Source organism: Homo sapiens, chromosome 1, assembly GCF_000001405.40.
Source record: "Homo sapiens chromosome 1, GRCh38.p14 Primary Assembly".
Lineage (NCBI taxonomy): Eukaryota > Metazoa > Chordata > Mammalia > Primates > Hominidae > Homo > Homo sapiens.
The window spans coordinates 162,173,452-162,199,494 of record NC_000001.11 but is presented as its reverse complement, the minus strand read 5'-3'; the positions used below and the strand labels follow the sequence as shown (position 1 = coordinate 162,199,494).

Sequence of the window (26,043 nt, the reverse complement as noted above, 5' to 3'; positions counted from 1 at the left end):
ATAACACATACCTCTACATCCCTCAGAAAGTTTTAGAAACACAGTGGAGAGGACAGGGACATGGGCTTCAGCCAGCTATGTCAGTTTCCTGCTATTTATCCTCACTTCATCTATGGAGCCTTACAAGGGTTTAAAGGAATAAATAAAACAACAGTGAGGACGTAACCGGCATGCAGCAGCGGAGCAGATATTCCATAAATGGTGCTGTCCTCTTTTCCCCACTCTTTAAGGAACATCTATGCGAGATTCCATCAAAGAGTAAAAACCTCCATCCAGTCTCCTCTTGCCTCAAGTCCCACATGATTCTAGAAAGAAACTCTTAAAGCCGACTCAAGGAGGTTTGATGGTCAGTGCAAGTTACATTTGTGGTGAGAAACAGGAGGATTGCAAGGCTTAACCCCCATGCCTATCCCCTAACAATGAAGCAGGATAACTGGAAGAGGGTGTAAGGTGTCCCTTTGCCATATTTAATCAATCAACCCATATTAGTTGAGTGGTTATTCTTTGCAGGGCATTATGCGGAGGGGTAAAACCTGATCCTACCCTCCAGCTGCTTTCCACCTAGCTAGGAAAGCAAGGCCCCAAGCCCCAAGTCCTTGGGTGAAATATGTCCTCTCTCTCGCCTCAGAAGCCACATATGAATAGTGGTGCTGGTGCACAGTGTCCTCCAGCCTCACTCCTAAGCTCTGGAGGCAGGCACTGAGTATGCCTGGTCTGCCGTTTGATTCCCAGTTCCAGCAAAGAGCATGACACAAGGAAGGCTCTCCACAAATACCAGGCTATTGAATCCACGAGATAATGAAAGAATCAGTGGATTAAATTTGAGTCAGAGGAACAATCATTTAGAGATTTGCTGCATTTTGACACTAACAAATACCATGCAGATGTACCCATTTCCAAAGCCTAGGAGAAGTAGTCCTCCTGAGGCCCATCCTCTCAGAGTCAGGCAACAATAATTCAAGACCCTGCATCGTTTTCAGATGTCTTTAGGGCTTGACTTTTGCCTTAAGTTTCTTAAATCCAGCCCTGGAAATGTCAGAATGGGATTCACAAGGGATTGAATCTTGCCACTGCAGGGCATTTCAGATACTACAACCAGTGGATCCTGCCCTCTTCACCCAGGACAAGATCACAAAAAGTCAGACTGACATCAGCATCACCATCACAACGATCAGAAAGTTTAAACCTCAGCACCTCCAATTCGTATGCAGATGGCTTTGATGACTGGAAAATAAGAAGAGCCATCAGAGAAGATTATAGTCCTGACAACTCACTGTGTAATTAAAATGTCATTCTCTCCCTGGCTCCCCTAGCTCCCTCCCAGCCCCTAAACGAGCATCACACCAGCCCACTCTCTCCTACACCCTGTGCCCATCCCTCCCTCATCATGCTCCTAGAACGCCTTCCAGGTCAAACCCTGAGGAGGCAGTACCAGGGCCCTCCTACAGCCAGGCCGGGCCCATGACGCCTCCATGACTCGCCCCATGGCAGGTAGGATGAAGACACACTCTGGGCGAGGCTGGTGGAGCCATCTGCCCTCCTCATACCTCCTTTGCATGTGCTGCAAAGCTCTCTCCCACAGAGCCCTGAACAGCAGGCCAGCGGGGAACACCAGTTAACCTGAGGATAGTGCGGCAGGGCCAAGAGAGTTGGACACTCTCAGTCCTGTAGCCCTGCCGCACACCCTAGAGCCAGGCATCTCTGCTTCCTCACTCAGGAAAATGACATTCTGGACAGTTGGCCCCTGGTGGTGGAAAAGAGCCCAGGCAGAGAAATACAACAGATCAGGTGCGAGGCCTAGCCCCTAAGTGACCCGAGACAAGTCACTTCCTCTCTCCTGAGCCTGAAAAGGGTTGGGTAAAGGAACCCTGAATTGCCTTACTTCCAGACTGTGTTCCAGGCTCTTTCTCCACAGGCTTCCCACTGAAAAGCACTTCACTTGCTTCTTAGAGACTTATTTTTAGGAACAGACTAGGCTCAGTTCACTTGTTCCATTTCACAGAGACTCCGATCTGAAAGCTCCCAGTAAGATCCAGCACGCTAGACAACATAGCAGCCAGTACATCCCGGCTGCCAAGAACCTCTGTTCTATAATCCTGGCTCGGCAGAGCACCATCATGCGTGTGCCCTCCACGGGGCATGAGGAAATTCAAGGGAAAAACACACCATCATGCAATTAAGCATGGCCACACAAAACAAGCCAGATTTTCCCTTTGTTTCCCATTAAGGTTAGTCAAAACAGCACCTTTCAGGCTTGCCCGTGTGTGGTCTTTGCATTGGCCTTCAAACTCTCATTGAAAAGAGACTATTTCTTGATTATTTACTATGCAACACCCAAGACAATGCCATTAGCAGTTAATTATTACTCAACAACATGGACTCTGCCCTCAGAAACGTGTTTGATGCCCTTGCCAGAAAATATCCATGCAGAGCCTTACTGGCTCATCTTCACAATGGAATGGGCGAAGAAAAGGAGAGCCACCGACAAACTCTATTCGAACCACTCCTCGTAATTTCTCATTTAGTTACAGCTGGAAAATGAAATGCTACTGCCTGAACCAGCAGAAGGAATGGGCATGAAAAAGAGAAGAGGGACAAAAACCATAGCGGGGCCTCCAGCCCTACTCTACTCTAGATTCGTTCGCACAATAAATGTTTTACTGACCATCTGCCAAGTGCCAGGCAGTCTGTTCCCCCCAAGCAACCCCTATATCAATCTGTAAAATTTATGATTATTTAAATATTTATAATAGAATACTGCACTGCATTTTTTCAAAGCACTTTGATTTCTATTATAGTCTGCCTTCCACAGTCCATGTGGCAATGGGAAGCTCATCCAGCATCTCTTTCCTGTTTCTGCTTCCCAACGACTCTCCCTTGAGAACTGGTGCCCTTTGGCCCCTACTCATTCCAGCCTCACCCTGCTACTTCACTGCAGCCTGGAGCAGACTGCACATTCCTGAAGGGCATGTTTTATATTTGTGTGCATCCTTCCCAACATTAACAAAGCATCTACTATGTGCTGCACACCACATCTTCTGAAATCCCCGCAACATACGGAGTTCTCTGCTGTACATCTGGCCTCAAAAATGTTAAACGTATGAATCAATAGATTACAGCTTAATACAGAAAGAGCGTGGTATCAACCAAACTAGCAAAGAAATGAAGACAGCATTGGTGAATAAAACCCACTAAATGGTGAGCCCCAATGTCACCATTAGGCATTCCCAATTCCTTTATCGTCATCAAGTATGTTGCCTTCCAACCCAGAAGCAGTTGACAGATTTCCATTTTACCACATTTTCCTCCAAACATGACTGGGGGAAAGGCAAGACCAAGAACTGGTAAGAGAGTGTATAGATACAGAAAACCCAAATCTTAACAAAGCACTGAGGCACTGGTAACTGTTCTTTAACCCCCACATTCACACAACCAACTCTAAAGACTGTGTCCTATCAGCGAAAACCTTTTCATCTCCTTTACCCCTTTGGTCCAATAGTCTAATTTATTTAATCATTTTGACAGTGGCTTACTTTTTATTTAGAGCCAATTATGTACCTGGCCCCAGACCATGACATATAATGGGTAGGGACAATCAACGATATTATGACTTCTCTCCAGAAGCTGACAGTCTGGTTGGAAATATAAAACTCAATCCAAGAACAACAAGGACTTACGGGCTATACATGAAACAAGATTTCATGAACAAGATTAATATGGGCTGGAGTGATTAGGGTATGCGTCATAGAAGAGAAAGAACACAAGAAGTGAAAAAAAGGATGTCAAATAGTAACAGAAAAGATGAAAGTCATTTCAAGACAAGAGGACAGGCATGAATGAAGGAAAGGACACGGCAACAGTAATGGTAACTGGAGAAGCAGAAAGAGTGTACAAAGGGGTACCCAGTTTGCATGAAGTAGAGGATGAGCATTGCAGAAGAGGAACAAATTTAAAAAATAAAAAGTCAGCTAGAGAATTTTGATCATGTATTTATTTAATGCATAAATACTGAGCCTGTCATATGTGCCAGGTACCATGCCAGGTGCTGGAGATGCTGGGATGCAATGGTAAACCTGACATTACTAGTGTTTTCAAGGGTCTAGGAGTATGGCCTCGTAGAGAGAAAGCAAGTACAATGGTGATTAAAGGACAGAGTGATAAATGCAATGAGTAAGAGCAAGGTACTTATGGGACAGTAAATATGGGGTACCAACTTCATGCTGAGAAATAGTAATTTGGTATTAATATTAATAATTATCAATGTGATTATTCACGATGACAGCTTCCATTTATTGAATATCTACTATGTGCTAGATACTATACTAAGTACTTTATATATTGTGTCACTGAGTCCTCAGAGACCCTCTATACTACCCCTATCCCATTTCACCAGAGAGAAAGCAGATTTTACAAAAATCACAGAACTGCTAAGCGGCTTCCGTGAGTCCAGAGAACATCATCTCTGGCTTTTCCTCTACTATGAGGCACAAGCAATCCTAGTCCAGACAAACCTCATAGGAGTGACTGGATAGGGTTAATGCAATAATACATCCAGGGGAAATACTGCTGGCCAGGTCCTCCAAAATAATGCTGGATATAAAATTCTAGCTCCTGCAAGGTCACTTTTTCAGGACTGAATGTGCCAACCCAATTTCAAATGGCTCTCCTAGAATAAAAATGAAGTTCTACTTCCTAGAGGAATTAATACGCCCCTCTTGCCTCCCCTTCTGTGTCTCTCAGCCCCAACCCCCCGAGGAAAGCAAGGGCTGTTGGCGAGACACTGTCTCAGACCTAAATACCAGACCAAAGGTAAAGAGAACACTGGCAACCTTGCCAAATCCCCAGGACAGCTTTTATGTGCTCCTTTTGATCATCTGTGAGATCATTTAAGAAAAAAAGACCATTTTCATATCCAAGAGCCCCTCTGGAACAGAGTACAAACCTTGAAAGGTTACAGGAAACTTTTGCACAGACATGGAACTTCCAGCAGGAAAGTAGAAACCACAGTGCCCTTTGAGAAAACGTCTCAACACAAAAAAGGGCACAGCCAGCACTGAAGGGTACTTAAATACGGGGAGGACTTTCCTCAGCCAGAGAGAGGGGTTCCCAAACCAGCGCAAACTCACAACCTACAGAGATGGACCAACCAGGCTCTCTGCAAACAAGACTGGGCAGAGCAGTCTTGCAAACTCATCGCAGCCAAGGGAATAGACTCTCTGCTCTATTAAAGTAGTAATGGCTGTTTTGGTTCCTTATTTTATCAGAGAGATGAAGAGAAGAGAGGGGACATATAGGGGTCTTGCGAGATGGTAATTGGGAAGTTGGGAAATCATGTTTGAAAACCAGATGGAGACGAAAAGAGGAGTCTGAGATGGGAAACAGGGCAGATATATCTGGGATATTTATTTAAGGCTATGCATGGGGAGCTCTGCAAGCAGAGTGTGTATATCTGACACTTGTTGAAGTGACAGCCCTGGATCTCTGCAGAGCCTGTGAGACGGGAGGCCTCAGCAGCTGTCACACTCCAGTAAGCTGGCAGCTCTGCCTTGGATCTCCTGGCAAATCCCTGCCAATAGCTCAGACAGAAAGGTAACCACTTAATTAAAAAGAAAGAAAGAAAAGTAAAGAAACACCCATCTAGAGATGGAAAAGAGAGCAGCAGAACCTAATACTGAGAGGAAGGGGTGAGAAAAGAGTGATCTCAGGCTTTAGAAAAAGGGTCAGGAAGAAATAGGAAAGATCTAGCTTGATTTCTGAAAAGGGCCCCTTTTCCCTGGCCCCCTCTAAAATCAGGAGACATTCTTCAGGGAATTGTCAGAAGAGAAGGGAACAGACAATCCAACTAAATACAGATGGAAACCAAGAGAAGTTAGAGTCTCTTGGCTGCTATTCAGCAAGATAGACAAACATTCAGTAAATGGTCAAGGCGAAAAGGAAGCAAAAATAATCCATCAGCACAAATTCTTAAATACCCTCTCCTTACTCCACTCAGACCTGATTGCTTGTCTAGCTCCCTTTCTAACTCTCAGGCCATTCCCACTTTATCTCTTAGAGCCTTTTCAACAGCCTGCATACCCAACAGCTGTGAGTTCCCTGGGTCTATCCCTTTATGCCCAGGGACTGGGACATGCTCCAGGACAAAATGCCCCAGAATCTTATCTCCCTTCACCTCAGCTTACCTCCACTTCAGCCTGGAAGAGCCCTGAAATCTGCCTTAAGATAATTCAGAAGAGACAACCTGTCACTTCGGGGATCTAGAGCTCCTATTATTATCAAACAACCCAGGCTTCCAGCTTTAGCTCCTTTCCAGCCACTTCACAGCATCACTCCTTAAGGCATTTCAGTGTTTCTTGCAGCCTGAGAGTCATCTTTTCAGTACAGTTAAGAAAAATCTGTAACTATTGTAACTATCCTTCAACATCCTGAGTGTTCGCAAAAGCACACAGTGAGTTCTCTCATCACAGGAATTTTTCTGCAGAGGCTGTCAGTTCCTGGCACATGGGCACACTCTTGACTTTTACCAGGGGTCAAAGTGGCCTGTTAGATAGAGGGTCTGGCTGAAATCAGAAGACTAGAATAGATCCCTTGCTAAGTCTCCCCCATAGTCTCTATAAAGGAAGGGAGGATGTGCTCTGCTCTGCAAAAGCTCAGGAGACCTGAGCATTAAACTGAAAAATAAAACATATATCAGATCCACACAGAAAGGTGCAAAATTACCTGAGGAAAACAGAAAGGTGCCCAGGCTGGTAAACCTGACTACAGGTAGATTAAATTATTTTAAAAATCTATATTTACATATATTTAAATCAGCAAAGGGATTGGCCAGTGGAAGAACAGAAAAGTTGAGACATCTAAGCAAAGAGGCAGTGCCCACTGAGGCACAGGCCAGGGAAAAGTGGCCTTGCCCAAAACCACATGGCAGGCAACAGCCTTTCTGTGGTGGTAAAGCCAGTCTTCAAGCCTCTTTCTTCTTCTGGTTCCTCTAACACAAGTGCCACTTGTATTCCTTGTTCTGAACCTAGTGTCCCCAGTGACCAGGCCTGCTGCACCAGGCCTCATGCTACACTCAGAGTGCCTTCCTCCCCACCAGCTACACACCAACACAAAAACCCATACATCATCCCTTTTGAACTTTCCTGAGCCCTTTCCCAGTTTAACAGGACAATCTGCAGAGTAGCAACTTTCACACTAGAGTCTAAGACACTTCTTGAAAAAACCCTGGAAAACGGCAGTCAGGTTGATGGCTCAGACCAGCAGTTGTCAAGCTTGAGCACACATCAGAATCACCTGGAGGGCTTGTCAAACACAGATTGCTGGGCCCCACCCCCAGAGTTTCATATTCCACAGGTGCTGGGTGGGGCCTGAAACTCCACATTTCTAACAAGTTCCCAGGTGAGCCTGACACTACTGGTCTGGGGATCACATTTTCAGAATCACTGGTCTGGACTATTCAAATAATCCAGGACACAGAGGTGGGAGCCCAAAAACACTGGCATTAAAAACCCCAGACAAGTCCCTTATCTTCCAGGGGACAACCACTCCCTATCTGAGTAGCAGTAGAATAGAACCCCCTAGCTCAGCACCAACCACAGGCCAGGATCTACATCACCACTTTGGCATTTATTATCTAATTCTACATGAGTAGGGTAATACCTAGGCTAAATGAATGGTGTGATTTCAATGACATTATTACCATAATTAAAATTAATGGGCCAACTTTCTTCATTAGAAAGATCAAGAATGAGTGACAAACACAAAGAGGTCAACTACAGGATCAATCTGAGTTGGACTCTCTCTTACCCCCAGGCCTTATCAATGGGGGAGGAAGAGGAAGAGGAAGAGAATGTAGCCAGCTATCTAGGAGAACGCGGCAAGAATTTCTGGAATCCCTTATCTTCTTCTGCCAGCCCAAACACAGATCCCTCAAGTAATTCAGTAAATCAAAGAAGACATGCTAAAGAGTCCTGGGGGAACACAGGATCTTCCCATTGTACCTCCACATGGGCAAAACCTGATAATCTCAGATCTATGGGTTGTGGAGAGGAAACAGAAAGAAACAAGCTGTACAGTTGCCCTCACAAACCCCTGCACCATAGTGCACAGAAAACACTTCGAAGCAGGGAAGATCCCCCCCAGGAAAGAACAGTCAGAAGCAAGCTAGGAAGAAACCCTACCCCAGGAAAGAAGCAAGTGGGGCCAGGGCAGGAAGATCCTCAGAGTAGTGCCTGTCTCTTAGGGAACTCAGGGATATTTTCCAATCTGATGTTCCTGTGTGGACAGTGCCCGTGGTATGGGGCACACTGAGAAAAATCAAAGTGAGGCCAACAGAAGAGCTGCTTTACATAAGGCTGATATGGACGGGCAAGTCTAGCCATGGGGTGTTAGACGGTGGTGGACCAGGGAACAACTCTGTCAGATTCTGCTTACAGAGTCTCCCACACAGGGCCCCTGCCCATTCAGGACTCTAGAAAAGTAACACGATAGGGAGCCATTGCTTCTGGAAAAAGACACAGCCCTCAAAAACCCTGATGATGGTTACCCTAGCATCTCATCCCTCTTCCACTGCTCTCCTCAGACCATCAGAATGTGACCAATTCCTGAGGTTCTCAGACATTAAGGGACAGAAAGGTAAACACTGCATGTTCTCACTCACATACGGAAGCTAAAAAAAAGTTGATTTCATAAAAGTAAAAAGCAGAACAGCGGGTCCTAGAGGCTGGGAAGGGTAGGGGGAAGAGGGTAATAGGGAGAGATTTGGCAAAGGATACAAAATTACGCTACATAGGAGGACTAAGTCCCAGACTTCTCCACCACTGCCGGATAACTATAGTTAACAATAATATATAAAGTTTCAGATAGCTAGAAGGAAGACACTGAATGTTCCCAACACAAGGAAATGATAAATGTTTGAGATTATGAATATGCTAATTATCCTGATCTGATCATTATATATTCTATGTATTAAGATATCATTATATACCCCATGAATATGCACATTATTTGTCAATTAAAAATAAATAAAATCAGATTGTTTAAAAAAATGTGTTCAGAACATGTATACATATGTAACTAACCTGCACATTGTGCACATGTACCCTAAAACTTAGAGTATAATAATAATAAAATAAAATAAAATTTAAAAAAAATGTGTTCAGAGAAGAAAGAAATCTTGAAGTTGAAGAGCCCATTCAAGCAGGGAAGGACAGCTGATAAAACTAGAGATGTTTAGCCTAGAGAGATGGCGGAGCCAAGTATCTGAAGGGCTATCATGGGGAGCAGAGATGAAACACGTTCTATGTGAACATGGCCAGAGAGGGGCAGGGAGGGTAAGACAGAGACTGTTAAAGTTACATTATTTTTGTAATATCCACTACAAAAAGTTAAGCTCCACAAAATCTCACTTGGCATCAATTCACAGGCCTGGATTACAAAAGGGTGAGAAACTCACTAGCCATGCCCTAGAAGGTCTCCACGATCTGGGACTGGCCCCTCTTCATCTTCACTGGAGGGTGCTCTCACTCACTTCACTCAGCACAAACCATCCCTCTGTTGCTGGGAGGGGCCCAGCTCACTGCTGCCTCCCAATCTTGTACCTGCTGATCCCTCGCCATGAACAGATCTTGGCAAGCCTGGCTCATTGGCAATATTCAGGTTTTAACTCAAATTACCCCTCCTCAGAGAGGACTTCCCAGACACTTTCAAAGTAGCCCCACCTGGCCTTCCCCAGAATCACTCTCCGTCACATTACCCTCTTTATTTAGATAAAAATAATTTTCTCTTTATTTTCTCTTTATTTTATTCACAGAACTGACCACTCTCTGATGTTACCCTGTCTACTGTGTCTTTGTATTATAACCAGACTTTCCCATTTGAACATAAGTTCCATGAGAAGAGAGATCTCGCCTATCTTATTTACCTGTTTCCCAGTGCCTAGAACATTCTGTCAGATACTGATACTCAAATATTTGTCTATTAAATGAATATTTGTTGAAACACCAAGCACAGTCCAATTCTTTGAGTAGGAGAAATCTGATTCTGTATGCAAAGGTGTTTTCTTTTCCATCCAAATTATGGAAACCAGTTTGCTTAAGGTAAGAATTAACAGACTACTAACAAAAAATACCAGTTTTTTCTACAATAAATAATTAGCAGAACTAAATGAGCACCTTAAACTTTTTCCATGTTTCAAATAGATGAAGTCTGCCTAGACAGGAACACATTTTGGTTTTTTATAATGGCATTTTCAAGTGACAATTTCTGGGTAGTTATTAAGAGCTGAAATGTTCAACATATAAAAAACTGTTCTTAGACCTCCTATTGTAAGGTAAAATGACATGATACAACTATCATAACACATATACTATAATGCAAATTCAAACTTCATATACATGAAAAACACTAAAATAATCTTTTTATTTATTTATTTATTTATTTTTTCAAGATGAAGTCTCACTCTGTCGCCCAGGCTAGAGTGCAGTGGTGCAATCTCGGCTCACTGCAACCTCCGCTTCTTGGGTTCAAGTGATTCTCCTGCCTCAGCCTCCTGTGTAGCTGGGACTACAGGCCACTGTGCCCAGCTAATTTTTGTATTTTTAGAGATGGAGTTTCTAAAAATACTCCTGACCAGGTTGGCCAGGCTGGTCTCGAACTCCTGATCTCGTGATCCGCCCGCCTCGGCCTCCGAAAGTGCTGGGATTACAGGCGTGAGCCACCGTGCTCAGCCTAAAATAATCTTAACCAACTGTTCAACATTTGAAAATAAAAATAGAGACATTTATTACACTGTTATCATTCAACAAAACTCACTGCACTTCAAGGAAGGCACATAAGACCACTACACATGCAGCCCACATTCAAAGCACCTCTGTCACTTTTTCCAAAGATTCGACAGAAGCCAGCCAGATTGCCCTCTTGTGCTAATGTTGAAAAAATTTAGGCACTTTCAACATTTGCCAGAGTCGAGTTGTAGGCTGTGTGGCATATATCAGAGCCCACAAACAAGAGTGCTGCCCCTACAGTCTAAAAAATCCCATTTCAATAAAGCAAGTGATCCAGGTCTTATAAGATATTAACAACAGAGCATTAATCAAGCATTATGGAAATGGCCTATAAAGAGACAGTGTGTGAGCCCAATTCCAGCAACAGAAATATAGAGAAGAATTATCTCATTAAGCAGAAGTTTGTGGAACAGAATACTGAGTAGCTTTCCAGCAGGCCACAGATAATTTACAAAACGATTGCAAAGGGCACCATTTGCTTATACAAAATAGCATCTTTCATCTAAAAACTCCAGCATGCCATTTGACCAGAGGCTGTTTTGTTAAAGTCTTAAACATGAGAATTGGTCCCAGTTTTCAAGAGTCCAGCCACTTTCCCTACTAGGCAGATGGGAAAACAGTCAATGGGTAATTAAACTGGTTTTGGCTTTGGGCTGCTGCTAGTTTTCCTTGCTAGGAAGGGGCTTCTTCACAGTAAGATGGCAAGCCAGGGATAATGACAAGAATATGTTATACCACCACATTTTACTTGGCCCTCAGAACTCCTCAAAATGCTCTCTTATTTCTGATTGCTACATGGTCTCATGAATGTAGCTGAATCAAGCAGGAAACAGTCTGGCATCTGCCCAGCACATCACATGGCATCATAGACACAGGAAATTTTTAATCAGGACAGCAGGCAAATGTTCATGGCTCTGAACATGACTACAATTGCAAGGTCACTCTGCTTCTGATCCAGCTCAAGAATTTGCCTGAGCCCCTCATTGTCACTGACCTACATTTCCATGAACTATCTCCAACATCTTCTACTCAGCCGTTTTCACAGGTCTATAACACCTCTACACACTGGAGAGGGTGGTAGAAAGCCCAACACATCCTCATACTCAGAGGGTATAATACTGGAGGGCAGGAGGAGTCAATTTGACAATGTAAGTATCAAAAGCATTAGAATTCTCCATACCCTTGGGTGCAAAATTCTATTTAGAAATTTATTCTTAAGGAATAATTTTGAATGATTTTGTGATGTAACTACAAAGATGTTGACAGCTGTGAGAAACTAGAAACAAGCTAAATGTCAAAAAATGGGATCTGGTTAAATAAATATATGTATTAATAGAATGTAACTATACTCAGCCATTAAAAACAATGTTGTAAAGGATTATTTAAAGATGTGAAGTAATCATATAAACTATTAAGTGAATAAAGAAGATCACAAAACTTTATGCATGGTGGCTGAATGTGGTGGCTCATGCCTGTAATCCTAGCACTTTGGGAGGCCTAGGCGGGTGGATCACTTGAGCTCAGGAGTTCAAGACCAGCCTGGGCAACATGACGAAACCCCATCTTTACAAAAAATACAAAAAATTAGCCAGGTGTGATGGTGCGGCCTATAGTCCCAGCTACTTCGGGGGCTGAGGTGGGAGGATCACTTGAGCCTAGGAGGTCAAGTCTGTAGTGAGCCGAGATCAGGTCACTCCACTACAGCCTGGGTGACAAAGTGAGACCCTGTCTCAAAAAAACAAACAAATAAATAACAACAACAACAACAAAACCAACAACAAAAAAACCTTTATGCATAACATTTCATTTTTGTTAAAAGCATTCCATTTTTGCAACAATTACAATCTGAAAATCTGAAACAGTGTCAGTCTGCTCGGGTTGCTATAACGAAAGTGTCATAAACTAATGGCTTAAACAACAAACATTTACTTCTCAAGTTCTGGAGGCTGGAACATCCAAAATCAAGGTGTCAACAAACAGATCCAGTGTCTGGTGAGGGCCTGCTTCTTGGTTTGCAAATGGCAGTCTTCTCACTGTGTCCTCACACAGCCAAGAGAGTGAACTTGACTCTCTTTCACTTCTTCTAAGGACACTAATCCCATCATGAGGGCCCCACCCTCATGACCTAATCCAAGTCTAATTACCACCTCTTGATATCATCCCATTGGGGGTTAGAGTTTCAACGTATGAATTTGGGGGAGACACACTCAGTCCACCCGAAGAAGATGTGTACCAAAATACTTAATAGTAGCTATTTCTGGCCAGTGGGAGAGAGCTGGGGTTTTTTTGTTTTTTTTTGTTTTGTTTTGTTTTGTTTTTTTTCTTCATCTTTTCAAAACACTTTATACAATATATATGAGTCAGGCTTTACATTAAAAAAAACAGAAATTACTGTTTAACAATAATTAAATGCACTGTGGAAACATCTCACAGGGTTAAACACCCATCTGTGGGATGATCACAACATTCCAGAACCAAATGCAATGACATTAGGATTTCTGCCAGTGACATGCATTATAACGTGGTGCCAACCAGAATGTTGCTTCACTGAGTGTTTCTTAAGGTCTTAAATAAATGGTGCTGAATATAGATCCATCACACCAGGAATACCCCATCTTGATGCCATAATTACAAGTGTTATTTTAACATTTACAAAAAATATATAAGTAAACAAAAGTTAAGCAAAGCAACTACGAAGGAGGAGGAGAAGGAAGACTTTGCTTTTCTAACCTCCAGGCAGCATCTTATCAGGCTTAGCCCCTTCTAGGACCTCCTCCTAAAGTTTGAGAATAATCTCAGAACCTCAGTAACTCCTTATGTGACAAGGATTCAGAATTAAAATATGATTCCAGAGGAGGGAGAGTGCATACATCCTTTCTTTCTGGAATTTGCATGCATAGGGTTTTGTTTTTCCTCCACCACAAATCCTCATTCCAAATATTATAATAACATTCCTCATTATTATATTTGGCTTTAATATTGTAAGTACATATGTAAAAATGCAACTTTAGAAACTGCATTACTATCCTATAAGTGATTATAGCAACCCTAGACAGTAGGTGAGAATGCTCATTCCTACGGAATATCAGAGGTAGAAGCCTATGCAATCTGTCCTAATGCACATGGCAAGTTAATAGGAGAGCCCAGCTTTGAGGACACAGCTGCTGACTCAGCAGTCTCCTCACATTCCAGTCCTTTGCATAACTGGCTGTTCAGATAACCCCCATCAAGACTTGAGTTCTTCAAGGCATCAGATTATTGACCAAAAGGCAAACGTAATCTGTATGGCCACTGATTCTAGGAAGTAGGGCGGAATTATGTTACCACAGAATGAAACATGAGCTCACAACTAATGTCACCAAATACAGACAGTCAGTATTACAAGCTGCATCCTCCCCAAAGATGTCTACACACTAATCCCCAGAACAGTGAACATGTTACTTTACATGGCAAAAGGTACTTGGCAGGTGTGATTAAATTAAGGCCCTGCAGATGGAGAGATTATCCTGGATCAGCCACTGGTACAATGTAATCACAAGAGTCCTCAAAAGTGGAAGAGGAAGATAGAAGAGATATATCTATGGAAGAATGGTCAGAGAGATGCAATAATGCTGGCTTTGAAGATACAGGATGGGGCCACGAGCTGGGGAATACCAGCAGCCTCTTTAAGCTAGAAAAGGCAAGGAAAAGGATTATCCTCTTGGAGCTCCAGAAAGAAACAGCTGTGCCAGCATCTTGATTTTTAGCCCAGTGAGACCCATAGTGAACTTCTGATGTACACAACTATAAGATAAATGTGCTGTTTAAGTCACTAAGTTTGTGGTAATTTGTTACAGCAGCAATAGAAAATAATAAACAGACTATATTGATTATTCAACAGCTGAAATCACGGTTCTCACTGCAACACAATAAAGAGGACTACAGCTTGGATTTAATCTAACTTTCTCACTTCAGTCAGTCTCAGGGGAACTACTGGAAAACAGGGCTGCCAGGTTCTCTACAGGCATCCTATGGAGACCTTTCCCATTGTGTGGGACATGGTATTGGTGGAGGAGAAAGGATGTTAGAACGTCCCACGATGTGGTGGAAAGAGTAAAGTGCTGGAGTCAGGCTCTTCCACATACCAGATGCAATAATCCACCCAAGTCACAGTTTTCTCAGCAGTAACAATGTAAAAATACAGGCCAGGCACACGTTGTTTTAGTGCATTTCACTCTGTTGTGCTTTACAGATATTGGGGTTTTTTTGTTTGTTTGTTTTACAAATTAAAGGTTTGCGGCAACCCTGTGTCAAGCATGTCTATTAGTGCTATTCTTCTAACAGCATGTGCTCACCTCATATCTGTCACATTTTGTTAATTCACACAATATTTCATACTTTTTAATAATCATCTCTGTTATGATAATTTGTGATTAGTGATCGTTATTGTTACTATTGTAATTTTTGGAGGGCACCTTAAACTGTGCCCATATGAGACAGCAAACTTAATCCATAAATGTGTATGTGTTCTGACTGCTCCACCAACCAGCCATTCCCCCATCTCTCTCCCTCTCCTCAGGCCTCTGTATTCCCTGAGACACAATAATATTGAAATTAGGCCAATTAATAACCCTACAATGGCCCATCAGTAAAGTGGTCAAGTGAAAGGGAGAGTCTTACCTCTCTCACTTTAAACCAAAAGCTAGAAATGATTAAGCCGGGTAAGGAAGGAATGTCCAAAGCTGAGATAGGCCGAAAGCTAGGCCTCCTGTGCCAAACAGTTAGCCAAGATGTGAATGCAAAGAAAAAGTTCTTGAAGGAGATTAAAAGTGCTACTCCAGTGAACACATGCATAATAAGAAAGCAAAGCAGCCTTATGGCTGATATGGAAAAAGTTTGGACAGTCTAGATAGACAAATCAAACCAGCCACAACATTCTCCTAAGCCAAAGCCTAATCCAGAGCAAGGCTCTAACTCTTCAATTCTATAAAGGCTGAGAGAGGGAACGAAGCTGCAGAAGAAAAGTTCGAAGTTAGCAGAGGTTGGTTCATGAGGTTAAAGGAAAGAAGCTGTCTCTGTAACATAAAAATGGAAGGTGAAGTAGCAAGTGCTGATTCAGAAGCTGCAGCAAGTTATCCAGGAGATCTAGTTAAGATCATTGATGAAGGTGGCTACACTAAACAACAGATTTTCAATGTGAATGGAAGAGCCATCTATTGGAAGAAGAGGCCATCTGGGACTTTCATAGCTAGAGAAGAGAAATCAATAACTGGTTTCAAAGCTTCAAAGGACAGCTAGTGATACAGCTGGTGACTTTAAGTTAAAGCCAGTGCTCATTTACTATTTTGAAAGTCCTGGGGTCCTTAAGAATTGTGGTAAATCAAGTCTGCATGTTCTCTATAAACGGAACAACAAAGACGGCATGACAGCCCATCTCTTTACAGCATGGTTTACTGAATATTTTAAGCCCCCTGTTGAAACCTACTGCTCAGAAATATATTTCTTTCAAAATATTACTGTCATTAACAATGCACCTGGTTACCCAAGATCTCTGATGGAGATGTTCAAGGGGATGAATGTTGTTTTCATGCCTGTTAACACACCATCCATTCTGCTGCCCATGGATCAGCAGTCATTTTAACTTTCAAGTCTTATTATTTAAGAAATATATTGTGTAAGGCTACAGCTGCCATAGATAGTGACTCCTCTGAAGGACCCAAACAAAGCAAATTGAAAACCTTCTGGAAAAGATTAATCATTCTGGATGCCATTAGAACATTCATGATTCATGGAAGGAGGTCAAAACATCAACATCAACAGGAGCTTGGAAGAAGTGAATTCCAGTTCTCCAGGATGACTTTGAGGGGTTCAGACTCCAGTGGAGGAAGTAACTGCACATGTAACAGAAATAGCAAGAGAACTACGATGAGAAGTGGAGCCTGAAGATGTGACTGAATGGCTACAATTTCATAATAAAATTTTAATGAATGAGGAGTTGCTTCTTAGGGATGAGCAAATAAATTGGTTTCTTGAGATGGAATATACTCCCTGTAGACCCGCTATGAACATTGTTGAAATGGCAACAAAGATTTAGATAAACTTAGTTGATAAAGCAGTGCAGCAGAGTTTGAGAGGACTGACCCTAATTTTGAAAGAAGTTCTACTGTAATGCTATCAAATAGTGTCACACGCTACAGAGAAATATTTGGTAAAAGGAAGACTCAATCCTTGCAGCAAATTTCATTGTTGCTTTATTTTAAGAAATTGACACAGCCACCTCTACCTTCAGCATCCAGCACCCTGGTCAGTCAGTAGCCATCAACATCAAGTGTACCTTGTTTTTATATGCACTTGGAACCAAAATATTTGTGTGACTCACTTTATTGAGATACTCGTTTTATTGCAGTGGCCTGGAACCAAACCCGCAGTATCTCCAAGGTATGCCTGTACCAACTTGACAGTATTGTGACCGATTATAAGGTTCAATGACATTATGTATGAAAGTACCCTGCACAGTGACTGTCAGGAAGCAGACACTGTAAATGATGACTGTCGTAACAATTATTGTAATAATCTACCTCTTTCTGGGCCTCTGAGTAAAAAGCCATGTGACTTTGTGTTCAAATCTCTCCAGACCCTGGCTTCCTCCTCTAGTACATGAAGAAGGAAGATGGCTCTCTGACCATCTCACTGTACAGCTCTGAGGATTAAAATAACAATGTAAATAGAAGCACTGTGAAAAATACAAGCCCAATGCAAATGTCAAGTGGGACTTTTTTCAACTCTATCCAGGAATTCTCCAGAGTCCTTCATAAAGCTGGCCTTCTTAGGTCATCCCCAGAAAAGATGTTGCATACACTTGAAATCAACTCAGACCATACTCAGTGGTCTACCATGTTTCCTGTCTGATACAAGGAGAGTACTGAACAAAAATCTTTGAGCATCTGAGATACTGATGGCTTGTGAAGCCATGAATGAAATAAATTGGGCATTTTGGGCTCCATCCTACAAAGGAAGTGCCCAAATCAATCCCCTCATTCCTGGCCATCAGGAAGCATCCACTCCAGTGAGCAGTTCATGTCAACATCACCCCCTAATTCAAAAGGCCCTTGATAACTGTTATCCAGGGGGCAGCTGGTACTAGAAAAGCCCTTAAAAATAAGAACCAGAACTTCACAATAGTGAAAAAATAAGAGCTGACAGAATTAATCTTTCAAAATGAAGTAAAAATTATGCAAATAAGCTTATCTAAAATGTAAAACCTTATTTAAAATGTGAAATATTTAGATCATATTGAATTTTGCATTAATTCTTAGGCTAGACTGAGTTATTGATTTATTGTTGTAATTTTTTTCCAACATCACTACATAATAACATGACATCCTTTACTACATCTCTGACTTTCATGACATTACTATACAGAGCATAATTTTTGCAGAAATTATTTAAGAGCTTTCATTTTCTCAAAGGTGTGTCTTAATATTCAAAGATATTCAAATCCTTCTCCTTTGAAGTCAGTTTCTTGTCAGCATACTGATTGTTTTTCTCACCAATTATGAGTGGGTCTAACCCTGCCCAGTCCTCTTTTGTCTGTTAAGTTGTTTGAGCAGTTCTCCAGCAATCCTTTTATTGACTACCTATAATCCTACATCTTTTGCAAGACTTGCAATTTCACTTTGAAATACATTTGCATGGAAATTGCACTGTACTGCCAGATCTGAAAGCAGAATGCTGGCTGATAGACCTTGAGGATAGCTGAGAATAGATGCTGCTGTTAAGGGGAGGATGACTGAACAGGGAATGTTTTAGTTTTCTACTTGCTGCATAATAATGGCCACAAACTTCAAGGCTTAAAGCAACACACATTTAGTATCTCCCAGTTTCCCTGGGTCAGGAGTCTGAATACAGCTTACATGGGTCCTCTGCTGAGAGTCTTGCAAAGCTGCAACCATGGTGTCAACCAGGCTGTGTTCCTTTCTGAAGCTCATGGGTCATCTCCCAAGCTCACGTTGTCGTTGGCAGAACTGAGTTCCCGGCAGCTACAGGACTGAGGCTCCACTTTCTTGCTGGCTGTCAGCTGAGGGCCATGCTCCGCTCCAAGAGGCTCCTGTAGTCCCTTTCCACATGTGCCTCTCACATGCAGAAGGTCCCGCTCCAGGCTGCTAAAATGGGGTCTTAAATAACGTAACACATTGGCCGGGCGCGGTGGCTCATGCCTATAATCCCAGCACTTTGGGAGGCTGAGGCAGGCGGATCACAAGGTCAGGAGATCGAGACCATCCTGGCTAACACGGTGAAAGCGCGCCTCTACTAAAAATACAAAAAATTAGCTGGCCGTGGTGGCGGGCGCCTGTGGTCCCAGCTACTCAGAAGGCTGAGGCAGAAGAACGGCGTGAACCCGGGAGGCGGAGCTTGCAGTCAGCAGAGATAGCGCCACTGCACTCCAGCCTGGGCGACAGAGCGACACTCTGTCTCAAAAAATAAATAAATAAAATAAATAAATAAAAATAAAATAACACATCATGGAGGAGGCTACACAAGGGCCTGGCACATTGGAGGTCACCGGGTGCATTTGCCACAGGGATTGTTTCTGTAAGTGATGGCTTCATTGGTGAATATTTGGATGTTATGATCACTGTTGCTTTCCTAGGTAACATATCATTCAGAAATCCAGATAATGAACACCTGCATAATGCTGGTCCTCACCTCTCAGATCCAGGCTCTCCATTCCCACTGTCATGGCTCCAGTTTAGGCCCCTACATTCTTGCCAGCAGCCAGCACTAATAAATGGTGTCCGGCCTTTTCTCCTCCCAATCCATCCTCTGCATCACCTCTAGAGAGAGCTTAGTAATCTGCAAACCTCACCATATTTATTCTCTGCTAAAAATCTACCAATAGGTCACTACTACCAGCAGGATGAGGTCAAAGCTTTTTAGCAGGCAAGTCAGCGCCTTCATGATCTTATTGCCTGAGAAATCCACTGTCAAGTCCATCTCTCTCCAGCCCTCCCTGTGCTCTCTCACCTCTAGGTCCAGGATTTCCCTCCCCACTCATCCACCCTTCTGGATCTGAGTTCAAGGATCACAGCCTCTGTGAAGCCTGCTTGGACTTTCTCAAGAAGCTTCACATAATGTTTCTTTACATTCTCACTGAATTGTTTTTGCATAATCGCTGCAGCATTTACCCCAAATGCTGGTTTCCAGGTCCGTCTTCCCAACAGACTGGATGCATCTGCAGGCAAGAACTAGCTTTTTCCTTCCTCTGTCTTTAGCAGTACCAGAGAACAGACTGGCAATGGCTGTAGAATTGTTGTTTATCTAGCACAGCATGACAAATAAGAACACAGATTATAAAACCCCACAGCCTGCATTTGAAAGCCAGCTAGCCGGCTTCCTAGCTGTGTAACTCAGGGCAGGTTACTCAACTTCCCTGTGCCTTGGTTTTACCACCTCTAAAAGAAGAATCGTTTTCATATCTATTTCGTAAGATTTTTATGAGGTGTAAACAAGCTAATATTTGTTAAGGAACTAAAAAAGGGTGTAACATATGATTAAGACTATATAAACATTTGTTACATAAAATAAATACCCAGTAACTACGAGATACACAATGGTAGGAAATTCATGCAAAGAAAGGAGAGATGCCACACAGGTCCAGGAGATGAGCTAATGACAAAACTGTTATCAAAATTTTTCAGCCAAAAAAGAAACAGTATACATAACCACCAGCACCACCCCCCTCAACCCCCACCAAAAAACCCCACAAACAAATAAAGCAAGAATGATAAAATCCTGGTAATTCCAGGACCTGAGTGATAGGTATAAGACGGACTAAACTAGTCTTTTTACTTTGGTGTATGTTTGACAATGCTCGGAATGAAAACAGTTTAAATCTAAATAGGCCAGCATAGGCTGAGCATCCAGGAAGTATAAGAGCACCTAGGCAAGGCTACAACTTTCACACAGAGAAAGAAACCTTTTTCTTCCACTGTTCATAAACTGACGGGCAACCCTGGTGAGCTGAACGAGGTGCTTCTGGATGAGCCCTTTCTAGCTGGGTGGATGCCACCTTCTGTTATATGCTGGTCTCCAGAGACGGCATGACGCAGTGGGAAAAGCTCTGGCATCAGGAGGGATGAGTGTAAGTGCCAGCTGTCACTTACTAGCTACCTAGCCCTCCTGTGCCTGAGTCTCCTCACCTATAAAGTGGAAGGCCCTACTTCATAGGGTTGCTAAAAGGATTATTAAATAATATATTAGCAACTAGCACCATGTTTGGTGTATGGCACATACTCAGTAAACATATTTTTAAATAAAATAATACAAAACTAATCATACTCTTAGCAAGCACATCATTCAGCAGTCACAGTCTTTCACCTTTATTCAAATGGAATGAAAACTTATGTCCACACAAAAAGCTGCTCACAGATGTTCTTGGCAGCTTTATTCATAATTCCAAACCTTGGAAGCAGCCAAAATGTCCTTCAGTAGGTGAATGAATAAATCAACTGTGGTGTATCCAGACAATGGCATATTAATCAGCACTAAAAAAAATGAGCTATCGAGCCATAATAAGACCTAGAGGAATCTTAAATGCATACTACTAAGTGAAAGAAACCAATCTAAAAAGCCATTCATACCTACTGTATGATTCCAACTATATGACATTCTGGAAAAGGCAAAATTATAGACAGTAAAAAGATCAGTGTTTGCTAGAGGTTAGGAGGAGGAAGGCATGAATAAGCAGGGGACAGAGGATTTTTATGGCAGTGAAACTATTCTGTATGAAACTATAATGGTAGATACATGTCATTAAACACTCGTCCAAACCCACAGAATGCACAACACCAAGAATGAACCCTCATGTCAATTATGAACTCTGAGTGATAATGATGTGTCAATGTAGGTTCATCAGTTGTAACCAATGTGCCATTCTGGTGTGGAATGTTTAAAGTGGGGGACATTGTGCATGTGCAGGGGCAGGAATATATGGGATCCCCAAACTTTCCATTCAATTTTGCTAAAATTACTCTAAAAATAATGTTTACTACTTTTTTAAAAAATAGAAAAATCACATCATTTAGTTAAAAATGTTTAAATAAATTAATATAAACTTCAAAATAAATAAGTAAATAAAAAGAGTAGGCAAACTCAGTATATAACTACAGGTCAGAGAGCTGCCCCGCAAACTGAAGTGTGGGAAAACCAGGAGACTGAGCTACACTGACCCCAGACCCATGGCTGGTTCCCTTCATGCCAGTGGCTGAAAGACTCCGCAGCTGACCTACCTGGCAAAACAGACACCACCACAACTCACCCCAAAGATCTGAAAGGGCCATGCGTGGGCCGGCCTCTCTCCTGAGTCACACAGGACGAATCACTCTGTGTAACAAACACTCTGGTTTACTGGCCTTTACTGCCACACCAAAGTCACGTGAAAACTGCTTTCAGGAATCAGGGTTAAGTTCCTAATTAACACAATGGCGTAATCCTTGGGGCTCAGCTAAGCCCTGACTCCAGGGCTATTCCAAATCACATAATCCACCCTCCTCCCCCATATCACCTCCTGGATTAAAATTTTTAAAGTTCTCAGCAAGAAGGGTGGTCAATGCTTACCACTTACAGGCAGAGAAGAAAACAGGTCAGTATATGGGCAGCTCAGCAGCAGAACTACCAATTTTTAGAGTGTGCTGACATTGTCCAGGTAGAATTGAGGAGGTAGATGCTGAAAGGCAGATACTCAAATGAGGCAGATTCTCCTAGGCATTTATCCAATTAATTTGAAAGCTTATGTGCACATAAAAGACTGCATATGAATCGCTATAGCAGCTTTATTCGTAATCATCAAAATCTGGAAATAAGATGTCCTTGAATAGGTAAGTGAAAAAACTGTGGTACATTCATATTATGGAATACTGTTCAGCAATAAAAAATGAGCTATTGGCTGGGCGCAGTGGATCACACCTGTAATCCCAGGCCAAGGTGGGTGGATCACCAGGTCAAGAGATCAAGACCATCTTGGCCAATGTGGTGAAACCCTGTCTCTACAAAAAATACAAAAAGTAGCTGGGCGTGGTAGCACACGCCTGTAGTCCCAGCTACTTGGGAGGCTGAGGCAGGAGAATTGCTTGAACCCAGGAGGCAGAGGTTGCAGTGAGCCAAGATCACACCACTGCACTCCAGCCTGGCAACAGAGCAACACTCCATCTCAAAAAAAAAAAAAAAAAAAAAAGAGCTATTATGCCACAAAAAGATATGAATGAATCTTAAGTACATACTGCTAAGTGAAAGAAACCAGTCTGAAAAGGCTACATTTTCTATGATTCTAATTACATGGCATTCTAGAAAAAGCAAAAATTATAGGGATAGTAAATAGACCAGTGGTTGCCAGGGGTTTGGGGATAGGGTTTGGGAATTAAATAGATGAAGCACAGTGGACTATTTGGGGCAGTAAGATTATTCTGTATGATACTGTAATGTAAGTATAGGACATTAAGCATTTGACAAAAACCCACAGAACTTTATAGCACAAGAGTAAACCTAAATGCATGCAAATTTTTTAAAAAAAATCATTGAGTGGGAGGCCAAGGATCCCAGGATGGAATGTAAAATGTGACCCCCAAAAATCTAAATGTATTACAAATGTATGAAATAATCTCACTGAAGAAGTGAGACAGTAAGGTGCTAACAGAAGTTATCTTAGAAATCAGTGGAGTCTGTACAAACTAATGGCAAAAAGAACTGTACATAAGCACTGTACTAGAGCTGAAAAATTGTTTCCAATGGGGGTATGGGTTAACGATTCTGATACTACTGTACGCGTACACTGGAAGTGAACAATTAAGCAAATGGGTGGTGGTAGCTAGGTTTCTAACTGCTTGCGGGGGATATTACAGATAAGCAAGGGAGGAAGCTAGAATGATTTATGTAATATGGATCAGAATTGCAGACATCACTACAAACTCATGTTTGGCTTAATATAGATGGCTACATATAGAAATATTCATGGGTATTTGTATATTAAAGAGGTAGCATACACACGTATTTCATTGCTCTATCTGCTGAGAGGGCCTAGATGCAAACACATTCCAGCAGCAACTAACCGACCGCCCCCACCCCCACACCTCCGATCCTGCTATCTAACTCCATGCCTTCAACAAAAGGAGTCAGGGCTCTTTGCAGAAATGCTGGATTCAGGAAATACACCAGATGAGCCTGGAGTACTGTGTAGTGCCAGAAAGTTAAAACGTGCTCAAAACAACAAACAATGATGGGGCAAGGGGATACAAGAGCCAAATCAAAGAGTTTTTAGCAGCCACATTAAAACAATTTGTGCAATGAAATAAAGAAGTACTTATAATACAAGGTATAAAACAAATATCCATGATTCTTTACTGATAAAAATAAATAAATGACTGAATAAAGCAATAAATGGGAGAGGACAGACAAATCTATGCAAAAGAATTCCAAATACTTGACATAACTGTTTTAACTGTTTTAACTGCCTTTAAGGAGGTAGAGCAAAACTTTCCACTCTGTAAGTGCATGTAAGTGCAGACCATGCATAACGACTTTTTTTTTTTTCCCCAAAAAGTACTTCATGGAAAGAAAAACAGTAACTTTACAAATACTATCTCAAGCCAGGTGATCAAGGTTAACATCAACAGTGATAAGTCATAATGATAGTATGTACCCTTCAAATTATATGATGAGAATGCCATCTTACCTCTCTGTCTTCCTCCCAAAAACATATTAACCATGAGGAAAACATCAAATTCCAGTTAAAGGAGATTCTACAAAATAGGCCTGACCAGTAATCTTCAAAATTGTGAAGATCACCAAAATTGTCAAGATCACCAAAAATCTGAAAAACAGTCACAGTCCAGGGGAGCCTAAGGAGGATAAGAACTAAATGTGGTCCCAGACAAGATCCTGGAACAGAAAATGAACACTAAGGGAAAACTAAGGAAATATGAACAAGTATGGATTTTAGTTAATAAGAATATATCAATATCAGTTCATTAATTCTAACAACTGTACCATACTAACATTAGATGCTGATAATAGGGGAAGTTGGGTGTTGGGTATGCAAGAACTCTCTGTACTATCTTTGCAATAATTCTGTAAACCTAAAACTGTTTTATAATAGAAAGTTTTTTTATTTTTTATTATATTATTATTACACTTTAAGTTTTAGGGTACATGTGCACAACGTGCAGGTTTGTTACATATGTATACATGTGCCATGTTGGTGTGCTGCACCCATTAACTCATCATTTAGCATTAGGTATATATCCTAATGCTATCCCTTCCCCCTCCCCCCACCCCACAACAGTACCCAATGTGTGATATTCCCCTTCCTGTGTCCATGTGTTCTCATTCTTCAATTCCCACCTATAAGTGAGAACATGTGGTGTTTGGTTTTTTGTCGTTGCGATAGTTTGCTGAGAATGATGGTTTCCAGCTTCATCCATGTCCCTACAAAGGACATGAACTCATCATTTTTTATGGCTGCATAGTATTCCATGGTGTATATGTGCCACATTTTCTTAATCCAGTCTATCATTGTTGGACATTTGGGTTGGTTCCAAGTTTTTGCTATTGTGAATAGTGCCGCAATAAACATACGTGTGCATGTATCTTTATAGCAGCATGATTTATAATCCTTTGGGTATATACCCAGTAATGGGATGGCTGGGTCAAATGGTATTTCTAGTTCTAGATCCCTGAGGAATCACCACACTGATTTCCACAATGGTTGAACTAGTTTACAGTCCCACCAACAGTGTAAAAGTGTTCCTACTTCTCCACATCCTCTCTAGCACCTGTTGTTTCCTGACTTTTTAATGATTGCCATTCTAACTGGTGTGAGATGGTATCTCATTGTGGTTTTGATTTGCATTTCTCTGATGGCCAGTGAGCATTTTTTCATGTGTCTTTTGGCTGCATAAATGTCTTCTTTTGAGAAGTGCCTGTTCATATCCTTCGCCCACTTGTTGATGGGGTTGTTTGTTTTTTTCTTGTAAATCTGTTTGAGTTCATTGTAGATTCTGGATATTAGCTGTCAGATGAGTAGGTTGCAAAAATTTTCTCCCATTCTGTAGGTTGCCTGTTCACTCTGATGGTAGTTTCTTTTGCGTGCAGAAGCTCTTTAGTTTAATTGGATCCCATTTGTCAATTTTGGCTTTTGTTGCCATTGCTTTTGGTGTTTTAGACATGAAGTCCTTGCCCATGCCTATGCCCTGAATGGTATTGCCTAGGTTTTCTTCTAGGGTTTTTATGGTTT

General features: G+C 41.9%; 1 protein-coding gene and 1 long non-coding RNA gene across 8 annotated transcripts in view, besides 2 other annotated features; one reads left to right on the top strand and one right to left on the bottom strand.

Moving 5' to 3' along the window:
* Nucleotides 1–26,043, bottom strand: part of NOS1AP (nitric oxide synthase 1 adaptor protein) — a 300,785-nt gene that overhangs the window by 170,981 nt on the left and 103,761 nt on the right. The window lies entirely within an intron of this gene.
* Nucleotides 816–1,452: an enhancer, noted in NCBI's record as "OCT4-NANOG-H3K27ac-H3K4me1 hESC enhancer chr1:162167833-162168469 (GRCh37/hg19 assembly coordinates)". NCBI's record gives its function as "activates a minimal SCP1, AML or CMV promoter by ChIP-STARR-seq in naive and primed H9 embryonic stem cells {active_cell/tissue: H9 hESC(naive and primed)}" and the evidence as "EXISTENCE:reporter gene assay evidence [ECO:0000049][PMID:30033119]".
* Nucleotides 18,521–19,051: an enhancer, noted in NCBI's record as "H3K4me1 hESC enhancer chr1:162150234-162150764 (GRCh37/hg19 assembly coordinates)". NCBI's record gives its function as "activates a minimal SCP1, AML or CMV promoter by ChIP-STARR-seq in naive H9 embryonic stem cells {active_cell/tissue: H9 hESC(naive)}" and the evidence as "EXISTENCE:reporter gene assay evidence [ECO:0000049][PMID:30033119]".
* LOC105371475 (uncharacterized) overlaps nucleotides 24,275–26,043 on the top strand; it is a 61,354-nt gene continuing 59,585 nt past the window's right edge. For 2 of the 6 annotated variants that reach the window (XR_007066699.1, XR_007066697.1), the window contains exon 1: nucleotides 24,587–24,737. This is a non-coding gene — a long non-coding RNA (uncharacterized LOC105371475). Of the gene's footprint in view, nucleotides 24,738–26,043 lie in introns of all 6 variants that reach the window. The other 4 variants (XR_922216.4, XR_007066700.1, XR_007066698.1 and 1 more) reach the window with 4 other exon arrangements.